This window comes from Homo sapiens, chromosome 1 (assembly GCF_000001405.40).
Source record: "Homo sapiens chromosome 1, GRCh38.p14 Primary Assembly".
Lineage (NCBI taxonomy): Eukaryota > Metazoa > Chordata > Mammalia > Primates > Hominidae > Homo > Homo sapiens.
In genome coordinates, this window is record NC_000001.11 from 119,744,720 (window position 1) to 119,769,397 (window position 24,678).

The 24,678-nt window shown below is 42.6% G+C and overlaps 1 protein-coding gene across 2 annotated transcripts, besides 1 other annotated feature; it reads right to left on the minus strand.

Moving 5' to 3' along the window:
* Positions 3,277 to 24,213, minus strand: HMGCS2 (3-hydroxy-3-methylglutaryl-CoA synthase 2). Of its 2 annotated transcripts, NM_005518.4 has the most exons (10): positions 24,022 to 24,186; positions 19,453 to 19,907; positions 15,145 to 15,270; positions 14,399 to 14,563; positions 12,554 to 12,719; positions 10,708 to 10,878; positions 8,561 to 8,667; positions 7,830 to 7,955; positions 6,078 to 6,189; positions 3,283 to 4,122 (listed from the first exon to the last, which is right to left on the minus strand). In NM_005518.4, exons 1-9 carry the CDS (start codon positions 24,123 to 24,125, stop codon positions 6,083 to 6,085), a joined length of 1,527 nt encoding a protein of 508 aa, NP_005509.1. In that variant the 5' UTR covers positions 24,126 to 24,186; the 3' UTR covers positions 3,283 to 4,122; positions 6,078 to 6,082. The 2 variants fall into 2 exon arrangements, with proteins under 2 accessions (NP_001159579.1, NP_005509.1); NM_001166107.1 differs by lacking the exon at positions 15,145 to 15,270 and having other exon boundaries at positions 3,277 to 4,122; positions 24,022 to 24,213.
* Positions 23,767 to 24,061: a silencer, noted in NCBI's record as "tiled region #1341; HepG2 Repressive non-DNase unmatched - State 4:PromP, and K562 Repressive non-DNase unmatched - State 22:ReprW". NCBI's record gives its function as "represses a minimal TATA promoter and a strong SV40 promoter by Sharpr-MPRA in HepG2 and K562 cells {active_cell/tissue: HepG2 | K562}" and the evidence as "EXISTENCE:reporter gene assay evidence [ECO:0000049][PMID:27701403]".

Here is a 24,678-nt window from a genome sequence, read left to right on the forward strand (position 1 = left end):
ATGTTTAGAAGGATTTCATAAGGGAAAGAAAGTGTAAAATTATGGGGGTATGAGACTATTTGGCAAGTTCACAAAGCAAGGTCAGTGTGGGTTGGTGAACATGTCACTTTTTTTTGAAAGATGATTTTCATGCAAAATACAGCTGAACGGCACTCTACCCAAAAGATTCACTTCAGGGAATTTTTTTCCCCATTAATAAGGGATGATCCATTCTTACTGTGTGCCCAGTAGTGTCTGTTTCTGAGATTCCTGGCCTGGCTAAGAAGGCTTGACACAGGGCAGCTGCTTGGCACTGGCAGGGGCGAGTCCAGCACTCTGGCCTCCTTAGTTTTGTGATGGAGCTAAGCATCAATAAGAACTCCAGCAGTAAGGGCTGTGTTAGTGTCTGCAGTGAACTCAGAGGGGTTGGCCTTGCTGTAGCTCACCTTGAAGGGAATGGGCCTGGTTGTGAATGTCATGGTCAACTCTGGACAGCTGTCTGACTGGGAACTCAGTGTTTAATTATCCTAGACCTTTGTTTCCTCATCTGTGGGAGGGCTAATGGTGCCTCTCACAGAACTGCAATGAGAATTTACTGGATTAAACAGTGACTTACGGGAAGTGCCAGGAGCACTTGGTGAATGTTGGTTTCTTCATCCTATGTTAGTCTGAGAGCAGACAGGCAGGTCTCAATTCTTTACATAGAACCAACCCCATGAACCAAATAGTTCTCAACATGACCTCATTGCAATTATGTTCAGCCAGATCTAGACACTGGGTGTCCTGACATCAGACAACCCATTCTCTCCAACTGGAAATATACCTGTGCCTCACATGGCATCCACTGAGGTCACTTGAGTGCACTGATGGATAGAAAAACAGGCTGAAATTTATGAAGTTAAAAATTCAGTTAAAAATTGAGCTCAATGTTTAGCCTCTCAGCCTCCTTCCTCATAAGCCCCTAAACAAATCATGTTCTGTGCACTAAGGTCTTCGGAACAGTACTAGAAACGCAGATTACTTGAGCATCTCAAAATATCTTCCTAGACTGGGTCATGAAAGAGGGCATGGGACGATCTTATCGTATCACGTCTCCCATGGCTGTCCACATGACCTCTCCCAAACTTAAAGGGCAGGATTCGTTGTAAAATTCAGCTGGTTTCTTTAGGAAACTCTGTAATATTTTTCATAATAGCTGCATCAATTTACATTCCCATCAACAGTCTAGAAAGTTTCTCCTTTTCTCCACATCTTTACCAACACTTGCTATCTCTTGTCTTTTTGGTAATAGCCATCTTAACAGGTGTGAGGTGGTATCTCACCGTGGTTTTGATTTGCATTTCCCTGATGACTAAGTAAATAGGCCAGACACAAAAAGAAAATTATTGCACTTACTCATTTATATGTGGAATCCCCCCCCAAAAAAGAGGTCAAATATATTGACATAGGAACTAGAAAAGTAGTTGAGGGGGGTGTCTAGGGAGATACAGGTCAAAGAATGTAAAGTAGAAAATACATAGGGTGAGTAAGTCAAAAGATCTGATGTACAACCTGAGGACTATAGTTAATAACAGTGTATTGTACTGAGGATTTTTCCTAAATTAGTAGATTGCAGCTGCTCTTGCCATGGTGGCGGGGGATGGGTAACTTTGTAAAATAATGAATATGTTAATTTGTTCCGTTACAGTAACCATTTTACTACATATATATATCTTACAACGTCATGTTCTATCCCTCAAATATATACAATGAAATTTTTGAAAAATCCAGCTAGGGCTACAGGGAGGGTGCCATGGACTCCCTCATGTTCTTTGTGGCATGTGGCATCTCTTCACTGCCCCTTTAGAGTAGAAGTTCATTCTTGTGCACACACAGCAGAAGGCTGGCTGTGAGCTCAGGGTGGAGGCAGGGCAAAAGCTGGGCCACGCACAGAATCTGCCTCAATGTGCTGACTCCTGAAGTTGTGATCAGTGTGTCCCCCTAGAGCTTGGGCTTGTCTCATGGTCAGTGGCGGGGCCATCTTTTGCATCAGTTTTAACATCACATGTTGAGTATTCCCGTTTGAATGAGTGTATCATAGCCCAACACTTGCCCAATCTGCCGTCCTCTCTCCTGCCCTAGGTCACCCTGTGTGAATTTTTGCCCACAGGGAAAGTCTTTATTTGTATGGTATCTGTAGACTTTAGGGTGAAAATGTTGACTGAGCCATTGGCAACTCATTCCCTCGTGTGCTGACCTTACATGGGGGAGAGGGCTTTGTTCAGAGCAGGCAGGCATCAGTGTCCCAGAGCTGCCAGAGGAAGGCCTCGGGCTCAGTATAAAAGTTGGTGAATAAGGAAGTTGGAGGGAGCCAGTGCTGATGCCCAGCTGGTGTGTGGGCTGTGGGCAGTGTCCATTCAATTGGTCAGCCCTTGACAACCTGGTTGTCGAATGTTTAATATCATTCCATTTGTGCTCAAATGCCTCCCTAGTGGAGACAGGCCTGGCCTCTGATGCAGGAAGTATGGGAAGTTCTGGTTGCTGAGGCTGACTGAGGCTGATGGAGAGAGTTTCAGCACCAACACTGCACAGTGAGCTTCTGTGTGGATAGAAGGCCAGGCCCGAGGCCTCTTGTCTCCAGAGCTAAGGTTAGTGCTGGGTTTTCTCCCCTGCACACAGATACCGAAAGGCACATGTTGTTCTGCTAGGGATGCCAACCAGGTTGAGGGCCCCTAAACATCTTGCTGAGGAGGTGCAGGCAGCAAGAGGGTAGCAAAGAGGGGCTGCTAAGCAGCGGCTGCAGCTGGTGTGATGAGTAGAGTTTTGCAGGCACCTTGAGAGAGGCCTGGGAAGGCAGTCAGCTAATGCTGGATTCTCTGAGCAAATTGGGGCTTATCTGGGATTTGTTGTGACATGAACAGCCTTGAGCAAAACAGTGAAGGGAACAGACCCAGCTTCTCATTCCTGTGGGGCCATTCTTAAGCGCTCCCTGAGGCTTAAGGGAGCCTTAAGCCTCCCCTGCTTCTCCTCCTCCTCCTCCTCCCCTCCTCCTCCCCTGCCCCCACCAGCTCTGCTCCCCGCCAATGGAAAGCATCCTCTCTCTTTTCCAAGGTGCCCTTTCCTCATGGGGGTGACTGAGGAAACTTTCTAAAAGGAAGTGATGACAACACCCTGATACTTTCCCTCTCCTCCCACTCCCGTCCTCAGCTCAATCCCCATCTGCCTGAACCATTGCTATTTTATAAGAGGACCCTAGAAGAAGCAGTGCCCTCCCCCAAGGGGGAAAGATCCTGTAATGGAATAATTTCCTGCCAGGCATCAAAATTTATTTATTTTTTTATTTTTGGCTATAGAAGGCAAAAACTTGTTAACCTTTGCGCTGTGTTTATTTGTTCAAATAACAGCGGCAAGGAATGACCAAGAAGATCTGAACTACAGCTCCTGCTGGCCCCTGTCTGCTGCTCTCTGTCTATGTGGTGTCTTTAGAACAGGGAAGTGGGCTGGGGGAAGCTGTGTTCTACCGTTCTTATTTGCCTTGTACCTGTCATAGCACTTGGCATGTGGCAGAAATAGAATGGAATTGCAAGGGGACAGAGGCAGCCTGTGAGGCAAGGACCCAGCCCTCTGACCCACAAGGTCTAGCAGGCTTGCTGCATGTTAGGCTGGGTTTGTATTCTGGGTTCCAAGAAACGCAGGAATCATTTCCTCTTTCTCTCTTTTTAATTGCTATATATTAGCTTAGAACAAGGTACAAAATTTGGAGATTCACAGGAACAGCACAGAAGTTTAACAATATTAATAATAATAAAGTTCTAACACATGACAGGAAAGTTTATCTGGATCTTGAAGGCAACAGCTGATCTGCATGCACATTTCTGGAGTCCAGTGATTCAGGAAGAGGTCTTCTCTCCATTGCTCCATCTTGCTCTTTCACAAAGGACCCCTAGTCCATAGCACCATAAGCCCAGGACAGTGATTGCAGCATGGAGAGGAATGAAGGGCCCGCTAGAGATGGCTCCTCACTCTACAGGGCTGATGCTTATGGGGCTACTATGTCGATTCAAATTCATTTACCAGCTAAGAGTGGGATCTTAAAAATATGATTCACGGGGAGAAGCTCTGCTAGCATACGTTTCCCAGGAAGCTTTCCATGGATCTGCAGAACTTAAATAAACAAAAAGTCATTCAATCATGGGTCTCCTCTTGGGCACCCTGCCCCCAGTACCTGCTTCTTGCCCGAGGTGTGGCTGTGCAGAGGGGCTCCCCTAACTGCATCCTGAGGGTGCTCCCACTATGCACCCTGTGCCAAGCCTGGACACCTGAGGGATCTGTGCCCAATGCTACTGGAGCCAAGGCTGGGGGTAGGCAGGGTCCCCGTCGCACATCTGCCTGTGATAGGAGAGCAGGAGAGGCAGGCTAGGGCGCTGCAGAGACCTGTAGAGCTCCACCATGAGCACTGCACTGACAGCAGCCCTTCATTTCTGCTAAAATCTCATTGTTGGAAGTTCACTGCTCATATTAATAATCAACATGAGAAAAGGTCAAGAGTTCCAGCTTTTTTTTTCAGGTATAATTCTGCCTAAGCACTTGCAAGAAGCTTGTCTACCATGAGAGGGAGGGAGGCTGACGTGGAAATTCTCCTTTAAAAATTCCAAATTTCTCTTTCTCTCTCCCCCTCCCGCTGACTCTCTCCCCAACCTCTCTCTCTCCCTTTCCCCCCTCCCTCCCTATTTCTCCCACTCTTCTTCTGATGAATGAACTAAGTTGACACATTTAACAGCCCCTCTTTGCTACTGACCTGCCCTTAAGAACCGTATTTCCAACATGCACACAGGCTCCCGGGCAGTACCACAGTCTTCAGGGCTGCTAACTGAGCTCGTCCTCTCAAAGGCATCCTGCGGCCCTCAGCCCACTTGTCCACCTCTCCTAGCCCTAACAACATCTGGGCTGCAACAGCCTAGCACCTGCCAATATCCCAGCGGTAAGGAATGAACCCAGGGCCCCTCCACCCGCACCTCTGCTTCCTCTCAGGTGGCTGTATCTGTGCATCTCTGCCACCCACTGACTTCTTCCTTCCCTTCCTCTGCTCCTTCCCTGCCTCGGCACACCTTTTTCTTCTTCCCTCTCCATCTACCAAAAGGAGGGGAAAATCTTAAAAACTTGAGCATGGAGACTGCACTAATTAAAATTTATGGGTTGTAAAATAAATCTCTTCTCACTCTATCATTCTGCTTATCCTACCTATTTGGTCAACTGAAGGCAGCTACCTGGGTTCATATAAGATTCTTATTTTTGAATGTTTGCTTTCCTTTAAAAACGATCATAAAGAATATCTCCCATTTCTCCTGTCACCGCAATCCTCTTTCACCTTGCTCTCTTCTCCCTATCCTTGTGTCCACGAATTTCCTGAACCTCATTGCTTCTCCCCAGAAGGAATCCCATGATATAAGAATTGTTACATGACCCTTAGCCTAAAACTCCCTCCAGCAGAAGTATCTGGCTTTAACAGAATCTTCAACCGCCCCATTCCTTATGAATCTGTCTCCCACACATTGGTGTGTACCATTTCTGAGGTTTTGGGGCTGTTCATCTTGGTTGTTCTGTTGCTCATCAGATCTGTTGATCTCATCCCCCTGGAGTAATGATTTCTATAGGTTCAGGTTCACAGCCTGTTCACTCAACGGATGCTCTGAATGCTAATCTGTCAAGCTTCTAGGAGAGCTTCCTATCTTCAGCAGATCAGGTAAACAAATCCAGCTCCTATTTTTCACATTCAAGATTTCAGAACATGTTTCTCCCCCAGCTTTTGCCTTTCCAAGGCAAAGAGCCCCAAGAGTTTTAATTGGTCTTTATGGTACAAATCCCCACTTCTGATTAGTTTGAAAGCTGTGAACCCTCCCTGGCCTGGTTAATGTTCCCAAACTACAAGATTCCTATTCTGAATACTTGCTTTTCCTTTTAAAAATTCCACAGATAATTCTCCCATTTCTCCTGTCACCCCAATCCTCTTCCATTAAACTTTCTTCTCCCTGCACCTGTCCCCACCTTCTCTCTCTGTGTTGTTACTCAGAGGAAGACATTAGGGTTTTATGCCACCAACTCTGCAAACTCTCACTCACCACCTTTAGACGGGACGCCGGGCATACTTTCGGCGATGCTGCTCGTCCACTCGCTCCAGGTACCAAGTACCTGGGAAAAGGCTGTTTGTGTCACCAGGTGGGGAGAAATTCACTGTGGAATGAGGAGAAGAGGCAGTACTCACAAAGAGTTATATGAGTTTTTGGAAGAGAAAATAGTAATGAAGATGTCTGCCCCTTCACAGTGAAGCTCTCTTGGCTGGGCTGTAAGGGGCTGCAAGGTCACCCTTAGTCCACCAAATAGAACACTGGACCCACAGAACAAGAGGGGCAGCCATCTTGAATCTAGCACTTAAGGCCTTAATAAAAGTCTATTAAGACTTTTATTATAAGAGTACAACATTTTCCTACAGTAAACATAGCCTTCCTCCATTGAAATCTTCATCCCATCCTTTTGCCAATAGTTCCTACTTTGAGACGTAATTCCCAGCTTCCTGTTTCCTAACAGACACGTCCTTCTAAACTCTAAATTTTCTGGTTCTGATTCATTGCAGTATTTCAGTGCTTTGTCCGTTAACGTTTGTCTCAGAGGTCCTATTTTTCTTTTCTTCTTTTTTTTTTTTTTGTTTTGAGACAGAGTCTTTCTGTGTCACCCAGGCTAGAGTGTGGTGGTGTGATCTCAGTTCACTGCATCCTCTGCCTCCTGGGTTCAAGTAATTCTCCTCAGCCTCCTGAGTAGCTGAGATTAGAGGTGTGTGCCACCACACTCGGCTAATTTTTACATAATTTTATTTTTTTTATTATATTCATATTTTTATAATTTTTATATTTTTAGTAGAGATGGGTTTTCACCATGTTGGCCAGGCTGGTCTCAAACTCCTGGCCTCAAGTGATCCACCTGCCTCTGCCTCCCAAAGGACTAGCATTACAGGCGTGAGCCACTGTGCCCTGCTCCATTTTTATTTTCATTGTCTTTCTTTGCTATAACATATCCACTGGTCCAGAAGAGATCAATGACCACTAGGTCTAGGTTTTCTGGAACATTTCCAATTCCGTATATTCTGTCTCCTTTTGAGACCATGCTGCAAAACAACATGCATCCCAAGTTTTGCTTGAGAATATATATAAAACCTGTAGAAATCATGGTAAAACTGTGTATTACTATGGTTTTAAAACCACCAACTAATCACTCTAGTATTACCTTTGGGTTTCATTTTCCTTTCATTTGTTGCTTTTGGAGCAATATTTTGTTTTTTGTTTTTATGTTTGGTGGAGAAAGAGGGCAATTTGGAGGGGACAGTAATATTTGTCGATAACATATTTATATAGAGTAATTCATTTAATTTGTTTGGAAATCCTGCAAAATCGGTATGATTTTAGAAATAAGACAACTGAGAAAAGTTCAACCATTTTTCCAAAGATAAACAGCTAGTGAGTGGCACAGCTCAGGGTTAGATTTGGATATCTAGCTCTAAAGTCTGTACTCTTTCAACTGTTGCAGATGGTATTTTCAAAGACTATACTTCTGGCTTCCATGGGACTACACATTCTGGGTGTTTAGCTATATTCTATACTGGGAAGCTGCATCCTGCCTCCCTCTTCCCAACTCTATCTTCTGTTTCCCCACCCACTTCTTGCCCCTTTGGACAACAGATCTTCTAGCAAATCTTCTCCCAACCATATCTCGTAAAAGTCTTGACCCTGGACTACTAAATTCTAGATTTCCAAAGAAATCCCTGGCTCCCAGCTACTGGAATGGGGTCTCTCTTCCTCTCTTCCTGACTTTTTTCTTACCCTTATGGTAGAATTGCTCTCTTTGGTTCATTATTTCTGTGAACTCCTCAGGAGACACACACTTTCGGGAGGCTAGGCGTTTTGGCAGGTCTGATGTGCTGGACACCAACTTGTCCAGGGGAGAGCCTGGGAAGCAAAAGCAAGATTGTTACACCTTTTTCATTGTCATTATCACTATTGCCAATCACGAGTTCAACAGAGAGCCAGGTTCTGTGGGAGGTTACACCCTGGAGGAACGTGTGGTGTGTGTGGCTTAGAATACCAAGAAATGATAAGCAAGCATACTTGTTAGCAAAACATGCAGGCAGACACACTGATTTGGTCAAGGTGTATGCCACATAGTACTTAAATGCATGTCCTTAATCACATCAATCACAAAATAATCAATAAATTCTTATTAGGTATCTCAAATCCATCAACTTCTCTTTAATCAGTTGCAATCAAACCACCATTACCTCTTGCCTGAACTAGTTACTGGAACAATCTAAGTGGTTTCCCCATATCCAGCTTTGTTCCTTTTCAATCTAGTCTCTAAGTAGTAGCCAAATAAGTGCTTTAAACACATAAATTAAACAAACTTACTCCATGCTTAAATCCCTTCAGTGATTTACTTTGCTATTAATAATAACGTAACTCTGTCAAGATGGCAGCCTCAGTAATGGTGGGGAAGAAGATGGTTATTCTACCAGATGAATCTTGTCAGGAAGGCCTACTAGAAAGATGACACTCACCTGGAGCAGCATCCTGGGATACTCGAAATGAAAAGAAACTTGCTGCTAAACCAGAGCCATAAGAGAAGGCACCAATCCTGGAGCCAGCCAGTTCTTGGGCAGAGTGGCTGTGGGGAAAGAAATCAAATAAAACACACACACACACACACACACACACACACACACACATATATGTATATATATATTATATTCTGCACTTCAAATAGAACAACAGCCTATCATCCCGATCTTCTCCCTGTCTACCTCATGCAACTAGAAATGGGTTCCAGGCACCCTACATAAAGAGGGACTTCTGGTAGACCCCAGGGACAGGCCTTTGTGTAGGAAACCTTGCCAAAAGGAAAGCAGCTAATATCCAAGATATATAAGGCAGAGAAAACACAAGATAATTTTTGGTGTACATAGAGCTTCTCCCCTCTCATGAGGACAGGGTAAATTCAGTGCATTCTGAAGGTGTCTCCAGATGGAGATCAGACCACTGGACTCACCCTTCAGGCTCCCATGTTGATTGGTAATGGTTCAGCAGTCATAACTTTTTGATCATCCCCTGTGAGTAATAATTTGATCAAGTTCACCCATAAGCACTTTTTCCTGCCCGTTTTTTTTTTCTTTTTTTGGCAGAGTCTTGCTCTGTTGCCCAGCCTGGAGTGCCCGGAATGCAGTGGCGTGATCATGGCTCACTGCAGCCTTTACCTCCTGGGCTCAAGTGATCCTCCCACCTCAGGATTCAGGATCCTGAGTAGCTGGGACTACAGGTGCAAGCTGCCACACCCAGCTAATTTTTTTTTTTTTTTTGAGACAGAGTCTCACTCTGTCACCCAAGCTATAGTGCAGTAGCTCGATCTCAGCTCACTGCAACTTCTGCCTCCCGGGTTCAAGCAATTCTCATGCCTCAGCCTCTCGAGTTGCTGGGACTACAGGCACGTACCACCATGCCCAGCTGATGTTTGTATTTTTAGTAGAGAAGGGGTTTTGCCATGTTGGCCAGGCTGTTCTCAAACTCCTGACCTCAGGTGATCTTCCCACCTTGGCCTCCCAAAGTGTTGGTATTACAGGCATGAGCCACCGTGAACATCCATGGCTAATTGTTTAAAAAAATTTTGTAGAGATGGGGCCTCCCTCTGTTCCCAAGGCTGGTCTCAAACTCCTGAGCTCAAGAGATCCTCCTGCCTGAGCCTTCCAAAGTGCTAGGATTATAGGCATGAGCCACTTCATGAGCCCTTTCTTATGTTAGATGCAGTACTTCCTTATAAAACCCACAAAACAGAAAATGAATAGAAATAACATCCAACATTTGAGCACCTGCTAAGCACTGCTATTTTAATTGTTTTAGATACTTAATGCTCATAAAAACAGTAGAACACAGGTATTGTGATTGCACACATGCTACAGTTGGGGAAGGTGAGGTGCATTGAGGTTAAGTATTATCCAAAGTCAACCCTAATAATTGGTTAAAAAAATTTGAACCCAGGTTGTGGGCTCTAAAGTCAGACCCATTTAACCACCATGCTCTACTAAGTATAGAGATTTTAAATAAATGAGACAAAAATATGCATACCAAAGCTACTGTTTTCTTGATGTGCCCAAACAGATCTTGCCCATCCCTTGACATCATGTACTTCACTTTGGAGACCACTGTCTGATACAGACTGTAAATCTGCCTATACATACACCTTTGGTACGAGTTTCTTTCATCTTCCTTCCTTTTCCTGCCTTCTCCCTCCTTTCCTTTCTTTTATATTTATTTATTTATTTATGACAGGATCTCATTCTGTCATCCAGGTTGGAGTCCAATGACACAATCATGGCTCACTGCAACCTTCCACTCCTGGGCTCACACCATCCTCCCACTTCAGCCTCCCGAGCAGCTGGGACCACACGTGCACACAACCATGCTCAGCTAATTTTTGTAGAGATGAGGTTTCACCACGTTGCCCAGGCGGGTCTCGAACTCCTAGGTTCAGGCGATCTGCCCGCCTAAACCTCCCCAAATGCTGAGATTACAGGCATGAGCCACTACACCAGGCCCCTTCCTTTCTTTTAAATTTCTGAGCCAAAAGAGAAACCCAACTTTGTTGACCCTGCAGCCCACGGGGGCGGAGGCTGAGGGTGTGCATGGAGGACATGGAGCCAGATGCAGTACTCACTGGGACAGAAGCGAGGCCAGGCACCCGTACAGGGATGAGGTGTACATGTTCCCATTGTGAGTGGAGAGGTAAAGGGAAGCCTTGGTTTTCTTGTCGAACATGTCCTGAGAGGCCTTTAGAAGTGCTTTATCCAGGTCCTTGTTGGTGTAGGTGTCTTCCAGCTTTAGCCCCCTGTGAGGTAGCCAGAGGTAGCCATGTGAGAGGCCAGGGGACGGGAGGCAGGGAGCAAGGGGGAAAAGTAACAGCTTCTGGAGAGGACTTTGGGGCGCATGTTTTTCCTACAATATTTGGAAATACAGAACAGTACAGAGGAGAACATACCACTAATGGCCTTACCATTCAGAGAGAGTACTTAGGGCTTATTTTTCTGGTGGAATCCATCCCTAATTTTATAGAGCTTACTAGAAAATTAGAAAGAAAATCATGCTATGTGTTGTGGTTAGCATACTTTCTTAACTTAGTGTGTGTGTGTATATATATATATATTTTTTTTCCATGACATTCTATAACATTATTTGTAAAGGCTGAAGAATGGTCCATGACAGGATGTACCGCACTTTAACCCATCTTCCTGCTCCTGTTCCTCACTAGTTAAAACACTACAGCGAATAGGTAGGTGTTCTTTTAAACACATGGGATTACTGAGCCCAAAGTTTGCACATCTTTAAGGCTTTGGCTTCATGCTCTCCTGTTACTCCTCAAAACACCTGATCCATTTACGCATCCACTACTGCCCATTTTCCCACAGGCTTGACAATTCTGGGTATTCACATTTTAAAAAGACTATCTAGAGAAAATGGTAACTTGAGTAAACTTTTTATTAATGAATATGCATATTTAAAATGTGATCATATACATGTCTTCTTTGAGAAAATTTTCTGTTCATATCCTTTGCTCATTTTTCTATTAGGGTATTTATTTTATTATTGATAATATCTTTATATATTAAAGATATTAAGCTAGTATCTTTGGTATATGTTATACTTTTTGTTTCGATAGGGCTGGTCTTACAAGCAGTGTTTGTGCTAATTTTGATGTTTTAGTTAGTGGCAGGGTTAGGAGTACTAGTTAGTAACAGGGGCTACACTTGGTAGCCTATTCTACTGTTGATAAAATTGACCAAAATTTGAAATAAACAGGTACCAAGAAGAAAGGGAAAGATTCCTTTCCCAGTGGAAACTGTATTGAAGACATTTCTTTGTAAATATTAGTGTATTAGTGTAGTGAATCAATAAACAGCATTCTTTCTGCTTTTTCACATCTAAGGGGATGAGCTGGAACATCCCCATTTTATAGATGGGAGAAAAGCAAAAGCAGGACATGAATTAAGACAATGGCAAATGAGAATGGGACCTGACACTTCTCAAATTGCTACCCTGTAGTGTGATCATTTGCTTCTGTGTGTTTGTGTCTGTATAGGCTGTGAGATGCTCTAGGGCAGGGACCATGGAGTCACATTCATTTTAGTATCCTGAGAGGTTAATACGATGTCTAGCACATAACATGTTCAGAAAATGTTTATTGACTGAATGATTTAGCTACTCTCTTTCTCCCTTCCTCTCTTTCTCCCTTTCTCTCTTTCTTTCTTTATCCTCTGTAGTTTCTTACTGCCCCTTGATCCTGCAGTGCTGCCAAATCCCCCATGTTTCCCTGCAATAACTCATGGAGGGCCCTACCCAGACAATAACCCACTACCCCGTGGAAGGACCTGGGATTGTTCCTGTTCTGCTGGAGGATTGCCATTTGTCCCCCACAGGGGTGCTGGTGGTCTAGACTTAAGGCATGAAGAAGCCTCCTTCTTGCTCACACCTCACCAGCCTCTAGGCTCCCCAAGAAGAGAACTCACCCGAAAGCCTCCAGCCCCTTATATAAGCTGGTTTGTGTGTCACTGCTGGCTGACAGGAAGTCATTGAACATCAGGCGAGCCAGAGACTTCTGGACCATCTTGCAAAAGGGTGTATGAAAGATCATGTACTGTAAATCGTCAAGGGTGAAGGGTCGATCGCTGCCAGCTGGAAGAGGAAGCGTGAAGGCAAGGATGGGGCATGAGGGGCGAGCCATTTAGATATCCTCCCTGAGATTTAACTGTGCCGAGTTTCTCCAGGCCTCCCAGGGAACTACTTCCCACCTCCTGCAAACACATATGAGCTTTATTTATTCATTTTACATGCACTTACTAAGCAATCTCTACGAATAAGGAAAGAAGGGAAAGAAACAAAGCCTTTGTATCTACTATTACCAGCCTCTATGATACTTGGCTCAAATCAACCTTGTGTTATATAATTTTCTTCATTTGCCAGAGGAGGAACCGGTCTACAAAACATTGTCATCTGTCCAACTTTGAAAAGGCTGGCTTTGGATTCAGGTTCAGATGTCTCTGACTCTACTCTACAGACTGTCTCTCTCACTCTGAAGAAGAGGGCAATGCAATCTCTGCCCTTAGGAAATATTACATTTTAGTGCTGGGATCCAAAGCAGCATCTGTCACCTTACATATGCAAATAAGGAGTAAAATTTAAATGCCACAAGAATTCAGAGGAGTTAGGAGCAAATAACCAATTACAGAAGACAGACTGAGGCAGAGAGGCCCAAAGCAACTTCTTGCCCATGAGGTTCACCTCTGGCAGGTGGTGTCCCACCCACTGCAGTAGAAAGGGACAAGAGGTAGCTCTTTATGACACCCCCAAGGCATCCATGCCTTCTCCCACACTGCAATCTGTCTTTTGCGGATGCCCATCTGGGCATGCCTGAGCAGGCAAGAATACTATTTATGTCTTTAAAGTAGGTTTAACTGTATTTTATTTTTATTTATTTATATGTTTTTAGAGACAGGGTTTGTTTCACTCTGTAGTCCAGGCTGGAGGCAGTTGCTTGATCATAGCTTACTGCATGGGCTCCTGGTCTCAAGCAATTTCCCCCATCTCAGCCTTCTGAGTAGCTGGGACTACAGGCTTATGCCACCATGCCTGGCTAACTTTTGTACTTTTTTTTTTTAGAGACAGGGTCTTGCTTTGTTGCCCACATTGGTCTCAAATTCCTGGGTTCAAGCAATCCTCCTGCCTCAGCTTCCCAAGGTGCTGGGATTACAGGCGTGAGCCACCACTCCCTGCTTTTCTGTATTTTAAAAGGAAGATTTATTTGCTTATTTTCTGCTTATGAAAGCAGTACATATTTCTCAGGAGGGAAATTCCAAAACTAAAGGTGAAAATAAAATCAACCTGCAGTAGCATCACGAAGAGAAAAATCACTGATAACACTTCAGCATATAGAAAATATAGGTATGATTTCTCAACGTGAGACTTTAAAAGATGGTAAACCACAAACCAAGAGCCAAACCATGCCTGACTTAACCAGAAACAAATGCCAACCACTGTCGAATGTGACTGCCCAGCCTCTTAACACCATCTTCTCAGGTGGCTGACATCCCTTGGTTTCACACTGGGGGCCTTGCCCTGGATTATTTACTTTCTTTTATTTAGCTCAAGTTAGAAGCAATTTTACACCTGAAGTTGAATGACTTCCAAATGGATTTTAGCATAGACCCAGGGAAGAGTGTAAGAAAGAGGACAGGAAACAATTCTCTTGACATTATTTTCAAGGCAGGAGAGAAAAGACCATCTCATGGCCTTTGGGTACAAACCCTTGGCCTATGTAAATAGAGCCCCCACTTTCTGCCCTCTGAATCTCATACCTTGCTTCCACTGATTCTGGATTTTTTTACGGTATGATGTGTAACATCGATCCAAGGCCCGCAAGTAGCACTGGATGGAAAGCTTCCCATCCACTATTGGGTACTCCGAGGCCAAATTTGGTTTGTAGAAGTCATACACATTCTCCATATGGGTTCCCCTCAGCCCTGGAAAGGCACACAAAGTGTTTCAGAGACTACACAATGCAGCCTACCTTGAGCACAAAAGATGAGAGAACCATATAAAGGAGGTTTCTGGTCATTATCTGTGTCCCATGCCCAAGTTCAAGCCCATTCAACATCCCTTGCATATTCAAAAGGAGTTGGACAGGTTGTTGGTATTACAAAAATGAGATGTATATTTCCCTTTCCTCACCTACATGGGCTTAACAAAACCTAGAATAGAAGCCAACAGTCTCAAAGGAAAGACTTTCACTTTATATCCAGTTATATATTTTAATCTTCAATTGCCAGAAGAGTTCCCTAAGATTCCTCACCATCATCTGCACCACTCATTCCATGCATCGTTATCCCAATGCCTGATGATGCAAGAGAGGAAGCCTCGCGGATTCCCCTCTCCCATTTCTCCTCTCCTCCCTCTGCTCCATAGACCAGCCCTTTTTAGAGGCAAGCAATACCATCCTCAAACGCATACCTCAGCCCTGAGTAGCAGGTGTGCCAATGTGGGATTAGGATCTATGTTCTTGGCTATGCCATGCACAGCCTCTTGGTAATGGATTACTACAAACCTCGCTCCAGGGCCAGAGGGGCCTTGGGCCCAATCAGCATAGCCACAGCTCCGGCCCCACCTGTGGGACGAGCATTACCACTGGGATAGACGGCAATGTCTCCACAGACCACCATGGCATAACGACCTGTAAAGAGAAACAAGAAATATTTACCATCATTACCAAATCTAGAGTAGACTGAGTGCCTACTGTGTACCAGGCACAATTCTAGGTCCTGGATATAGAGTGATAAACAAAATAAAAAATCCCAGTCCTGTGGAGCTTATGTTCTAGTGCAATTCATGATACATTTGAAATGTAAAGTCAAAATTTAGTGTCCTGACACTCTGTAAAACGCTCATTTATTCAGAATTCTGTCTCTGACTTCAGTGAAAAATGTGTTAATTCGCACTTTTGGAGACAATTCAGGTTTGGGTTTGTACCCATCTCCTTATAGCACACCATGATCCTGAAATTATATCCTAAATCATAGAAGGTAAAGGACAGGGAGGGAAACTAACATTTAAAACACTAGTAGGACACTAGTTAACCTTAAACAATTCTTGAAACAATCCAATGAGGTAGGTAACATCCACATTCACAAGTGAAGACATTGCCTTCCTGAGAGACTGAGTAACTAGTGTAAGGTCACATAGCTAGTTAATATGGATTTTGATATTCAAACCCAGTTCTGACTGGATCCTGAACCACGTGCCTTGAATTGTGTGGCACTACTTTCATTGTGAAAATAGTTTATATTGAGTAAATGATCCGTAGTCACTAACTTTATGATAATCAGACTAGTATTCAATAAATAATTGTGGTCTTGACTATTATGTGTTCCACTTTCATCTGTAAGAAGTACTGTCCCAAAAACTCAAGTTTGTGGGTGAGATATGGTAGTAATTTTAGTATTCTGACCTGTGAGGAAGCTCCCAGTATTCACCCACAGCACTGCTTTGGGAGCCACATTTCTATATAATTTAATCCTCATGATAAATCTATGTAGCAGATATAGTTATCCCCATCCTACAGATGAAGAAACTGAGGGCTAAAGAATTTAAGCCACTTGCCCAAAAACCACATAGCTAATAAATGGTAGGGTAAGGATTCAGAGTCAGGACTCCAACCCAAATTCACTGAAATCCAGGGACCTTCTCTTAAGAATTATAACAATCCCAACTCCAACATCAACGAAAAAGTATTGTTTTCTTCCCCAATGCTATGTGCATGTGTGTGTGTGTATATATATAAATATACAAATAATTTATATAAATATATAAATGTAAGTATATATTTAGTATATATAAATATATTAGTATAAGTAAATTGGTATATTTAATATATATAAATATATATTTAAGTATATATAATTTTTATATACATAAAATTAAGGGAAAACAATACTTTTTTCTACCTGTATATAAGCACACACACGCACACATTTTGAAAACTTTAGAAACTATAGAAAAGTATTTAGAATCCATTTAGGAAAAGGCCAGTAAATTTGATTATCTAAAAATCAAAGCCTTCTATCAGAAACAAAGTCAAAAGACAAATTGGGGGAGTATTTACAATACTTACAATCAACAAAAATCAATTTATCTTCATTTATAAAAGTTTCATTAAAAAGGCAAGCTAGGCCGGGCACGGTGGCTCACGCCTGTAATCCCAGCGATTGGGGAGGCCGAGGCAGGAGGATTGTGAGGTCAGGAGATCAAGACTATCCTGGCTAACACGGTGAAATCCCATCTCTACTAAAAATACAAAAAATGAGCCGGGTGTGGTGGTGGGGTCCTGTAGTCCCAGCTACTCGGGAGGCTGAGACAGAAGAATCGCTTGAACCTGGGAGGCAGAGGTTGCAGTGAGCTGAGATCACCGCCACTGCACTCCAGCCTGGCAACAGATCGAGACTCTGTCTAAAAAAATAAATAAATAAAAAATAAAAAAAGGCAAGCTATATAATAAAAAAAGGCCAATAAACAACATAGAAATATTCAAGATTTCTTATAGTAAAAGAAACGCAAATCAAAAACATTATAATTTTACTTGTTAAATTGACAAAGATTAGAAAGTTTGATAATATATACATTGTAGGAATGTAAGTTAGTACAACATTTTGGAGAAGAATTTGGCACATTTTATCAAACTTTTAAATCAACCTATCCTGATATTCCACTTCTAGGAATTTATTCTTACAATACAATGCCAAAAGTATACAAAGCTATTGTACAATGTTCATTAAAACTTTATTTATCATTGCTAAAAAACTAAATATCCATCAATATGGGATTAATTAAATAAAATTTGGCATATCCATCAAGAATATTGTGGTTTTAAAAAGAATCAGATAGACCTTACATATGTTGATACAGAATTACCTCTAAGACCTAAGAGATGAGGAATATTTTGTACAATGTTTAAAATGGAATAGATATGTGTATACTTGCAGGTACTTAGAAAAAATATTGGAAGAATACATATAAACCATCAGTGTTAAATTTTGGGAAGTGGTAACAGGTCAAATGAGGAGTCTTTCTTTGCTTTATATACTTTTGTGTATGTGTATGTTTTTTTCCAAATATAAATTTTAATTATTTTCATTTAAAAAAAAAAACACAAGAAAACATGGGGACTCCCAGCCAATCTGAGCCAGAAATACTCTTCTCTTTCCTCATCCCCTCCACTTTTCTCTGGAGTGATTCAGAACTCCCTGAGTCTCAGAGCCACTCCCTCCCACCTGAGGGTCCCCAGATGAATGACTGGCTAGGTCAGAAGCAGAGTTCTCATTCACACTGGCATCCTCTGGTCCTGGTGGTTACTGTCACCTGCAGGGTATGTAGTCCGAGTGTCCAGGCTCAAGCTTAGCTGTTTTTGTTTTAAATACAAACTAAAGATTCACATTTCAATAACTTGTTTTTTAAATTTTTACTTTTATACCTAGATACCACATTTTTTTAAAAGATGCATTTGCAACCCCATCTGTGGAATACCCAGCCCCTCAGAAGAATCTACGCATTTGAAATGGCATGCTTAAGGCTGACAATGCTCTCAAGAATAGGCTCTTTGATTTTTGGTTAAAGGCTGGTGAATGCCCCTTATTTTTCATTTCTACTCCTCAACTAAATAATTGGTTGGACATATCAGTGGTGGTAATGGTGGTAGGGGTTACTAGAGAGGTAGTAATACAAGTATCAAGTAGGAGAGGCACTTTAAGAACAGACTTGATGATGTAGACTGGACCATCCCATGTCAGTGGAATTGTTAATGATGGAGCCAGGTAGGGCAGTTGGAAAAGCCTGGAATGAACTTTTGTAATTGCACGGTCTTGCTGCATGTACAGAGATAAACTGTTACACTCCTCTTGACCTCTTTTTTCTAAAGCAAAAGATATTGAATTAGATGATCTCTGAGGACTCTGCCAATATTAAGGCTTTTTGATTAATTTTATAATTAATGCTTATCATGGTTTCTAAGGTTTTTAATCCTAGTTTCAAACTTAGTAAATATAGAGTGTCTTAACTACTGCCAACATACTGTTTTTTCACATCTTTATGAAAATTTCACATTTCTATGAATTATTTTATTCAGTCCTCTTATAAGTTAAGCAAGGCAGATAGGCAAATAACCCTGAGGCTCAAAGAGGTTCAGGAATTTATCAATGATTATTGATAGAGCTATGGCTTCAAGCTCTCATACTGTACTGTTTCCCTTGAATCATTTCTTGCTGTAACAACAGGGGTTAGTCCTCAAATATAGCACTGGGAGAAGATATAAGTAAGATACAAGGTAATGTTAATATGTTAAGCAAAAAGCAATATGCAAGGAGCCACCTAAGGGAGAAAGAGTAGAAATACTCACAGTCTATCTTGTGGTTTTCTGGGCCTGTTTCTATGAAGGTGTTTTTTTCCCGAACATCTAAACTTGCATACATCTTTCAACATCACCAATCTCTCAGAGACTTAGGACATGTTTAAGAGAAACAGGTACGGTAAAATAGGAAATATGTCAGATGTGGTTTGGCATTTTTGCCTCTGCCACTCACTATGTGTAAGCTATCAGATCTTCCATGTTCTCTTCTATAAATCTGGTATAATACACACTTCCTAGGCTGTTGTAAGAATTAAATGAATGGCTATGTGAACATGCTACCTAACTGTAAAGCTATATAAGTCTAAGTGGTTATTGTGGGATGATAGCAGCAGCTGTGTGAATATATTGTCCTTCCTTCACTAGATGAAGCCACCTGGGGAACTGAAAAGCAAAACTGGTAATATTCAGCCTCCAATTCCAGCACCTTTCTTACATAAGGTTCGTGGCCGTACATACCATCCCAGGAACTGGACTCCATCCAGTTGGCAGCATTGAAGAGGGAGGCAGTACCACCGTAGCAGGCATTGGTGGTATCTATGCCCTCAATATCAGTATTGCCTGAATCCTGGAAGAGTTCCATGAGCACTGTTTTGACAGCTTTGGACTTGTCAATGATGGTCTCAGTGCCTACTTCCAGCCTGCCCACAGAGTCCCATGGGAGCTGTATGCGCTCCATCAGCCGTTGCACCACCGTCAGGCACAGGGAGTTGATGTCCTCTTGGACTGAGCAGAAGCCCATACGGGTCTGGCCCAAGCCCACTGTATACTTTCCTGCTTCCACATTGTTATACTTCTCCAGGTCAGTTTGGTCCACATATTGGGCTGGGAAGTAGACCTCCAGGGCCAGGATGCCCACGTCCTTTGGCCAAGTATCTGTTTTGGCCAGGGGGACAGCAGAGGCTGTAGAAAACCTGTGATGGAGATAACAGTCAAACTCCCACTAATGGTCTGTAGACAATTTCCTCAAAAGACAGTAACATAGCAATCATTTAATTAATTTTCTATATTTTGAAGCTATGTTATCAGATGACTACAAATTTAGTATTGTTATTATCTTTTCATTGAATTGACCCTTCTATACTTATTAAATATCCCTTTTCATCTTTGTGATATTCTTGGCATAAAGTTTCCTTTCCTGACGTCGATATAGCTACACTAGCTTTTTGCTTACTGTTTCCATGGTACATCTTTTTCTGTCCCTTTTTACTTTCAACTTCTTAACGTCTTTATCTTTAACATACATCTCTTGTGATCGGTATATATATTTTAGTCCTTTAAAAAAATTTTAATAAGTCTAACAATAGTGGTGTTTTAATTTGAGTATTTCATCCATTTATATTTGTTGTAATTACTAATATAGTTGGAACTAAATCTTTTTTTTTCTCTTTTTTGAGACGGAGTCTCACTCTGTCACCCGGAGTCTCACTCTGTCACCCAAGCTGGAGTGCAGTGGCGTGATCTCTGCTCACTGCAAGCTCCGCCTCCTGGGTTCACACCATTCTCCTGCCTCAGCCTCCTGAGTAGCTGGGACTACAGGCACCTGCCACCACGCCCAGCTAATTTTTTGTATTTTTAGTAGAGACAGGGTTTCACCGTGTTAGCCAGGATGGTCTCGATCTCCTGATCTCGGTCTTCCAAAGTGCTGGGATTACAGGCGTGAGCCACCACGCCCAGCCGGAACTAAGTCTATTTTTTTATTTGTTTCTATTTGTCTCATTTGTTCTTTGTTCTTTTATTCCTCCTTTCCCATATCCTTTTAGAGTAAGCAAATATTTATTATTCATTTTATACCCTCTTTTCCTTTTACTGGTGACCTTAAAGATTATAACATGCATAATTGGCTTGTTGTAATCTTACTTAAATTAATACTTATCTTACTTTTGGAACACTGCAAAAACTTTAGGTTGACTTTATTTACTCTCTGCATCCTTTTGAACCATTATTGTCATATACTTTACTTCTACATGTTATAAGCCCTTATAGGGCATAATTATACAATCTTTACTCATTTTAAAAGTGTACCTCTAATTACATGTCTTTCTCCTTTCTTTTTTCTACACAAGAACATACCCACTGTTTTCCTACTTTTAAGTAAGTTTTCTGCTAGCTGATTTTTCTGATAGGGCCTTCCAATGTTTATTGAGCACACCCAACACAGTTCTAGTCCAAATACACAGCAGTGAATAAGACATGCATTGTGCCCATAAAGAGAGCACAGCCCAGTGAAAGAAGCAGACATTTTACAGCTAAATATGCAGGGAACACAGACAGCAGAAAGAGCAATTCTAAACGAGAGCAGAGGAAAAAAGGAAGGGGAAGGAGTCAGCAGAAGAAGGGAGAGATGATCTATTTCTTTTCTGGACCAATTCACTTCTCTTTAACCCAGATTCTTAATATCCCTGGCGAAAATCTGTGTTCCCTTTTGTATGGGAGCATACTGGAGGTGAACTTGGTGATCTCTGTACTGCTCCCATACAAAAGTACTTTATACCTTCTGTTCACTTTAGCAACATTCTTCATTTTATAGTTAGTGAAACCAAGGCACACACTGGTAAAGTGATGCACTCAGGGTAACTTCATAGTTTCTCACGTGTTAGAAATACTCTGTCCCTTCACTGCCCTGGGTGCCAGGCTTATAAATTTAGCTCCATTCTACGGGAGCTGGAACTCAGATTGAATGTGTCTATCAATCATCTTTGGGATTCTGAGCCTCTGGTAGAATTCTAGAGCCTCTCCCAGCAGCAAGGTCACTTCTAAGGACAGCTGTGAGGCAAAAGTGGATCATATGATCACAAGATAGTGAGGCAGAATGATAAATACACATTATATCTGACAGGAGAGGTTTGGAGTTTATTTATCTTCCCTATTTATTTGACTCCCTCCAAATAACTGGAGTTTGTACTCTCAAATATTTACGGAGGAGCTTCCCCAGTACCCGGGAGCTAATGGTTAAGCCAGCGCTTGTCCTGCCAGCTTGGCTGCCTTTCTCTCAGCCTCATTCTCGCTCTGACTTCTCTGGGCTGGCTCCCTCCCTTTCTTCCCAGTTAGAAATCAAAGCTTGCAAGAAGAAGCTTAGAATGGGTCAGTTGGTAACTTTTGTAGCTGTCTTGGTGGGGAGCTATTTCTAGAAATGGATTATAAAGCCTTGAAGAAAATTAACACGGAGAGGCTTCCAGAAGCTTCAGCCCACCGAAGTTAAGAGTATCCTTCTCATCTTGTGCTTTCTCTAAAGAATGATCACTTTGTGTAATTTTAAATCATTTTTCTCCTGGTGTTGCCCACTTCAAGAACATGCACCACACCTTTACTTCTGTATTCCATCTTGCCTCCTTCCCTTGTGTTTCAAAATTAATTACTACACTTCAGGCACTGTGCTGGGAAGGGTTTGTGAGGGTTGAACAAAGGGGTTGGACAAAGAAAAGAAGAGGGTGAGGTTCTTGAGACCTCCTTGACCAGTGTGAGGAATGATAAGCACACATATAACCCAACTTCAAGGCAGAATGTGGTCAGGCCCACAAAAAGGAATGTGAGCAAAATCTACAGGAGTTCAAAGGAAGCAGAGATTTCAGTGGGTTGGAGGATCAGAGAAGCTTCGTGGAAGAGACCGCATTTGAGGCAAACCTTGATGGATGACAGACTTCTGCCAGTGAAGAACTGGAGGGGAATGAAGGGGCAGTGGCCACGGCAGGGGGTGACTGAACAAGTAAGGAACCCTGGAGATGCAGGTGTATAGGGGAGCAGGGAGACAATATGTGAGAAATACAGTAAGTGGAGGGCACAAGTCTTACCGAATTTTGAAGACAGCAAAGCAGATGCTGAGATGAAAGTCTCTTTTAGGTTGGAGTTAGAGCCAATGTGGGTTGGATTAAAGGCGATTAGACATATAGAGAAAAGGTGACTCATGAAAAGCAATATTAGTTCAAGCCATGCATAATGGGATTAACTGTGAATATACCAGAAGGGAAATGGGAATGATTCCAAGAGTTTGAACCAAGGGAGTCAGAATGTTGGGGAGGATTGATGTATGTCTTTTGGCTGATGGCCAACTATTGCTATTAAAACAAGAAACCCACATCAATCTCTTCTTCACAAATATAGAAACAGGTTAAATCCTGAGCTGGGACATTTAACCCACATGCAGGGTTTGGCAGTGCATGGGGAGAGTGAGATGATGGTAGCATAATGAAAAATATAAGAAAGCTATGTGCATTTGCCTCTACCATGCACATCTATACACCCAGGTTCCTTGGGTATTTGGCAAGGAAAGACACTAGGTCAAAATCATTTTTCTAAATATTTAGTAGTCATAGAATATAGAGTAAAAATGTAAGGAAATAAAGAACTAGTCCCAATGTGTAGTGGATGGTTTGGGGATTAGACAGAAACACATAGGTGGCTGGGAGCCTGAGGCACTAACGATAGCTGTGTTACCATCATCGCTGACAATGGAAAACATAAGCACTTGAGCCATGTTCAGGGACTATTTACAAAGAAAAGGAGTGTGCATGTTCTTCTTGCAAAGAGCATGTACACATACACACATAAACACACATTTCCCCTTTTCATAAAATTGGAACACAAGGCAAACACAGCTTCTCATCCTCAGTCCATTTCTGATTCTGCTGCAGTGATATAAAGTCACTGGTTTTACTAACACTGCAGTTGGCACAAGGTCCTGTGGTTCTAGGCAGAGGCTAGGGGTGAAGGTGGGAATGGTGGTGTAGAGAGGAAAGCTGTGGCCTGGTACTGATATTTCTACTGCTTCATGCAGCTGGCAGAGTAAAAGTTGCCATTGCTCACAAACACAGCATGTGTCAGAGGTTTGGGCTCTTCTCACTCTACAGCTGAAAGGGATTGTCTGTTTAGAGATGAGGTAACTGAGACCCTTTAAAGTTAACTTGCTTGTCTAAGGCTGCTGTGCACAAGCCTTGCCAAATTTTGAGTGGGATTCTAGTGAGTTTTCCCCAATAGCAGGGAAAAACTATCTTTTACTAGTTACAAGGTGCTTCTCAGAAAGTGACTCACCTTTGGTGGGCTACTGGGAGCAGGCGAGCAGGTGTGAGGGAGGTTTCCTGCACCGCTCTTGTCAGTTGCAGAATGCGCTTCACTGGAGTCAACAGACGCTGCATCTCCAGAGGAGCAAGCAGAAACCCAGCAGTTCAGAAACCCAGCAGAAACCTTGAAAGAGATGCCCAGTGGTGCCCGGCAGGACTTTATAAAGCCCCAAGACTCCTGCCTCCCTAAGCCCCGCCTCTGCTCACCGTGGCTCAGTCTGCTTCTAAAACTGGGTCAAAGGGCTCACTCAGAACACGGGCGAGTCAAAGACAAACAGCATCTCTCCAACATGTACATAGCTGCCCTGCTCCTGAGCATGTGTGGGAATGGCTGGGCATTGTTCCTCCTACTCCATCAGGCTCTGTGGCAGCCTTGATTCTGCCCAGCTACCTAAGCAGGAGGTTATGATGTTCCTTGTTGTATCACATCCCAAGGTAACCCTATGTGTCTTGTTTTAGACCCTGGCTCCTTATCTGTATTACTCTCACTGGGTGTTCCACACTCCTCTCTGTGGTGTTAGTTGTTATTATTTTAATGTGCTATGCATTATAAGAAACATCTTTCTAAACCAAAGGGAAACTCTTTTAATAGTAGCTTTTCAAGGAGTTGGGAGTGAGTGTTGGCACA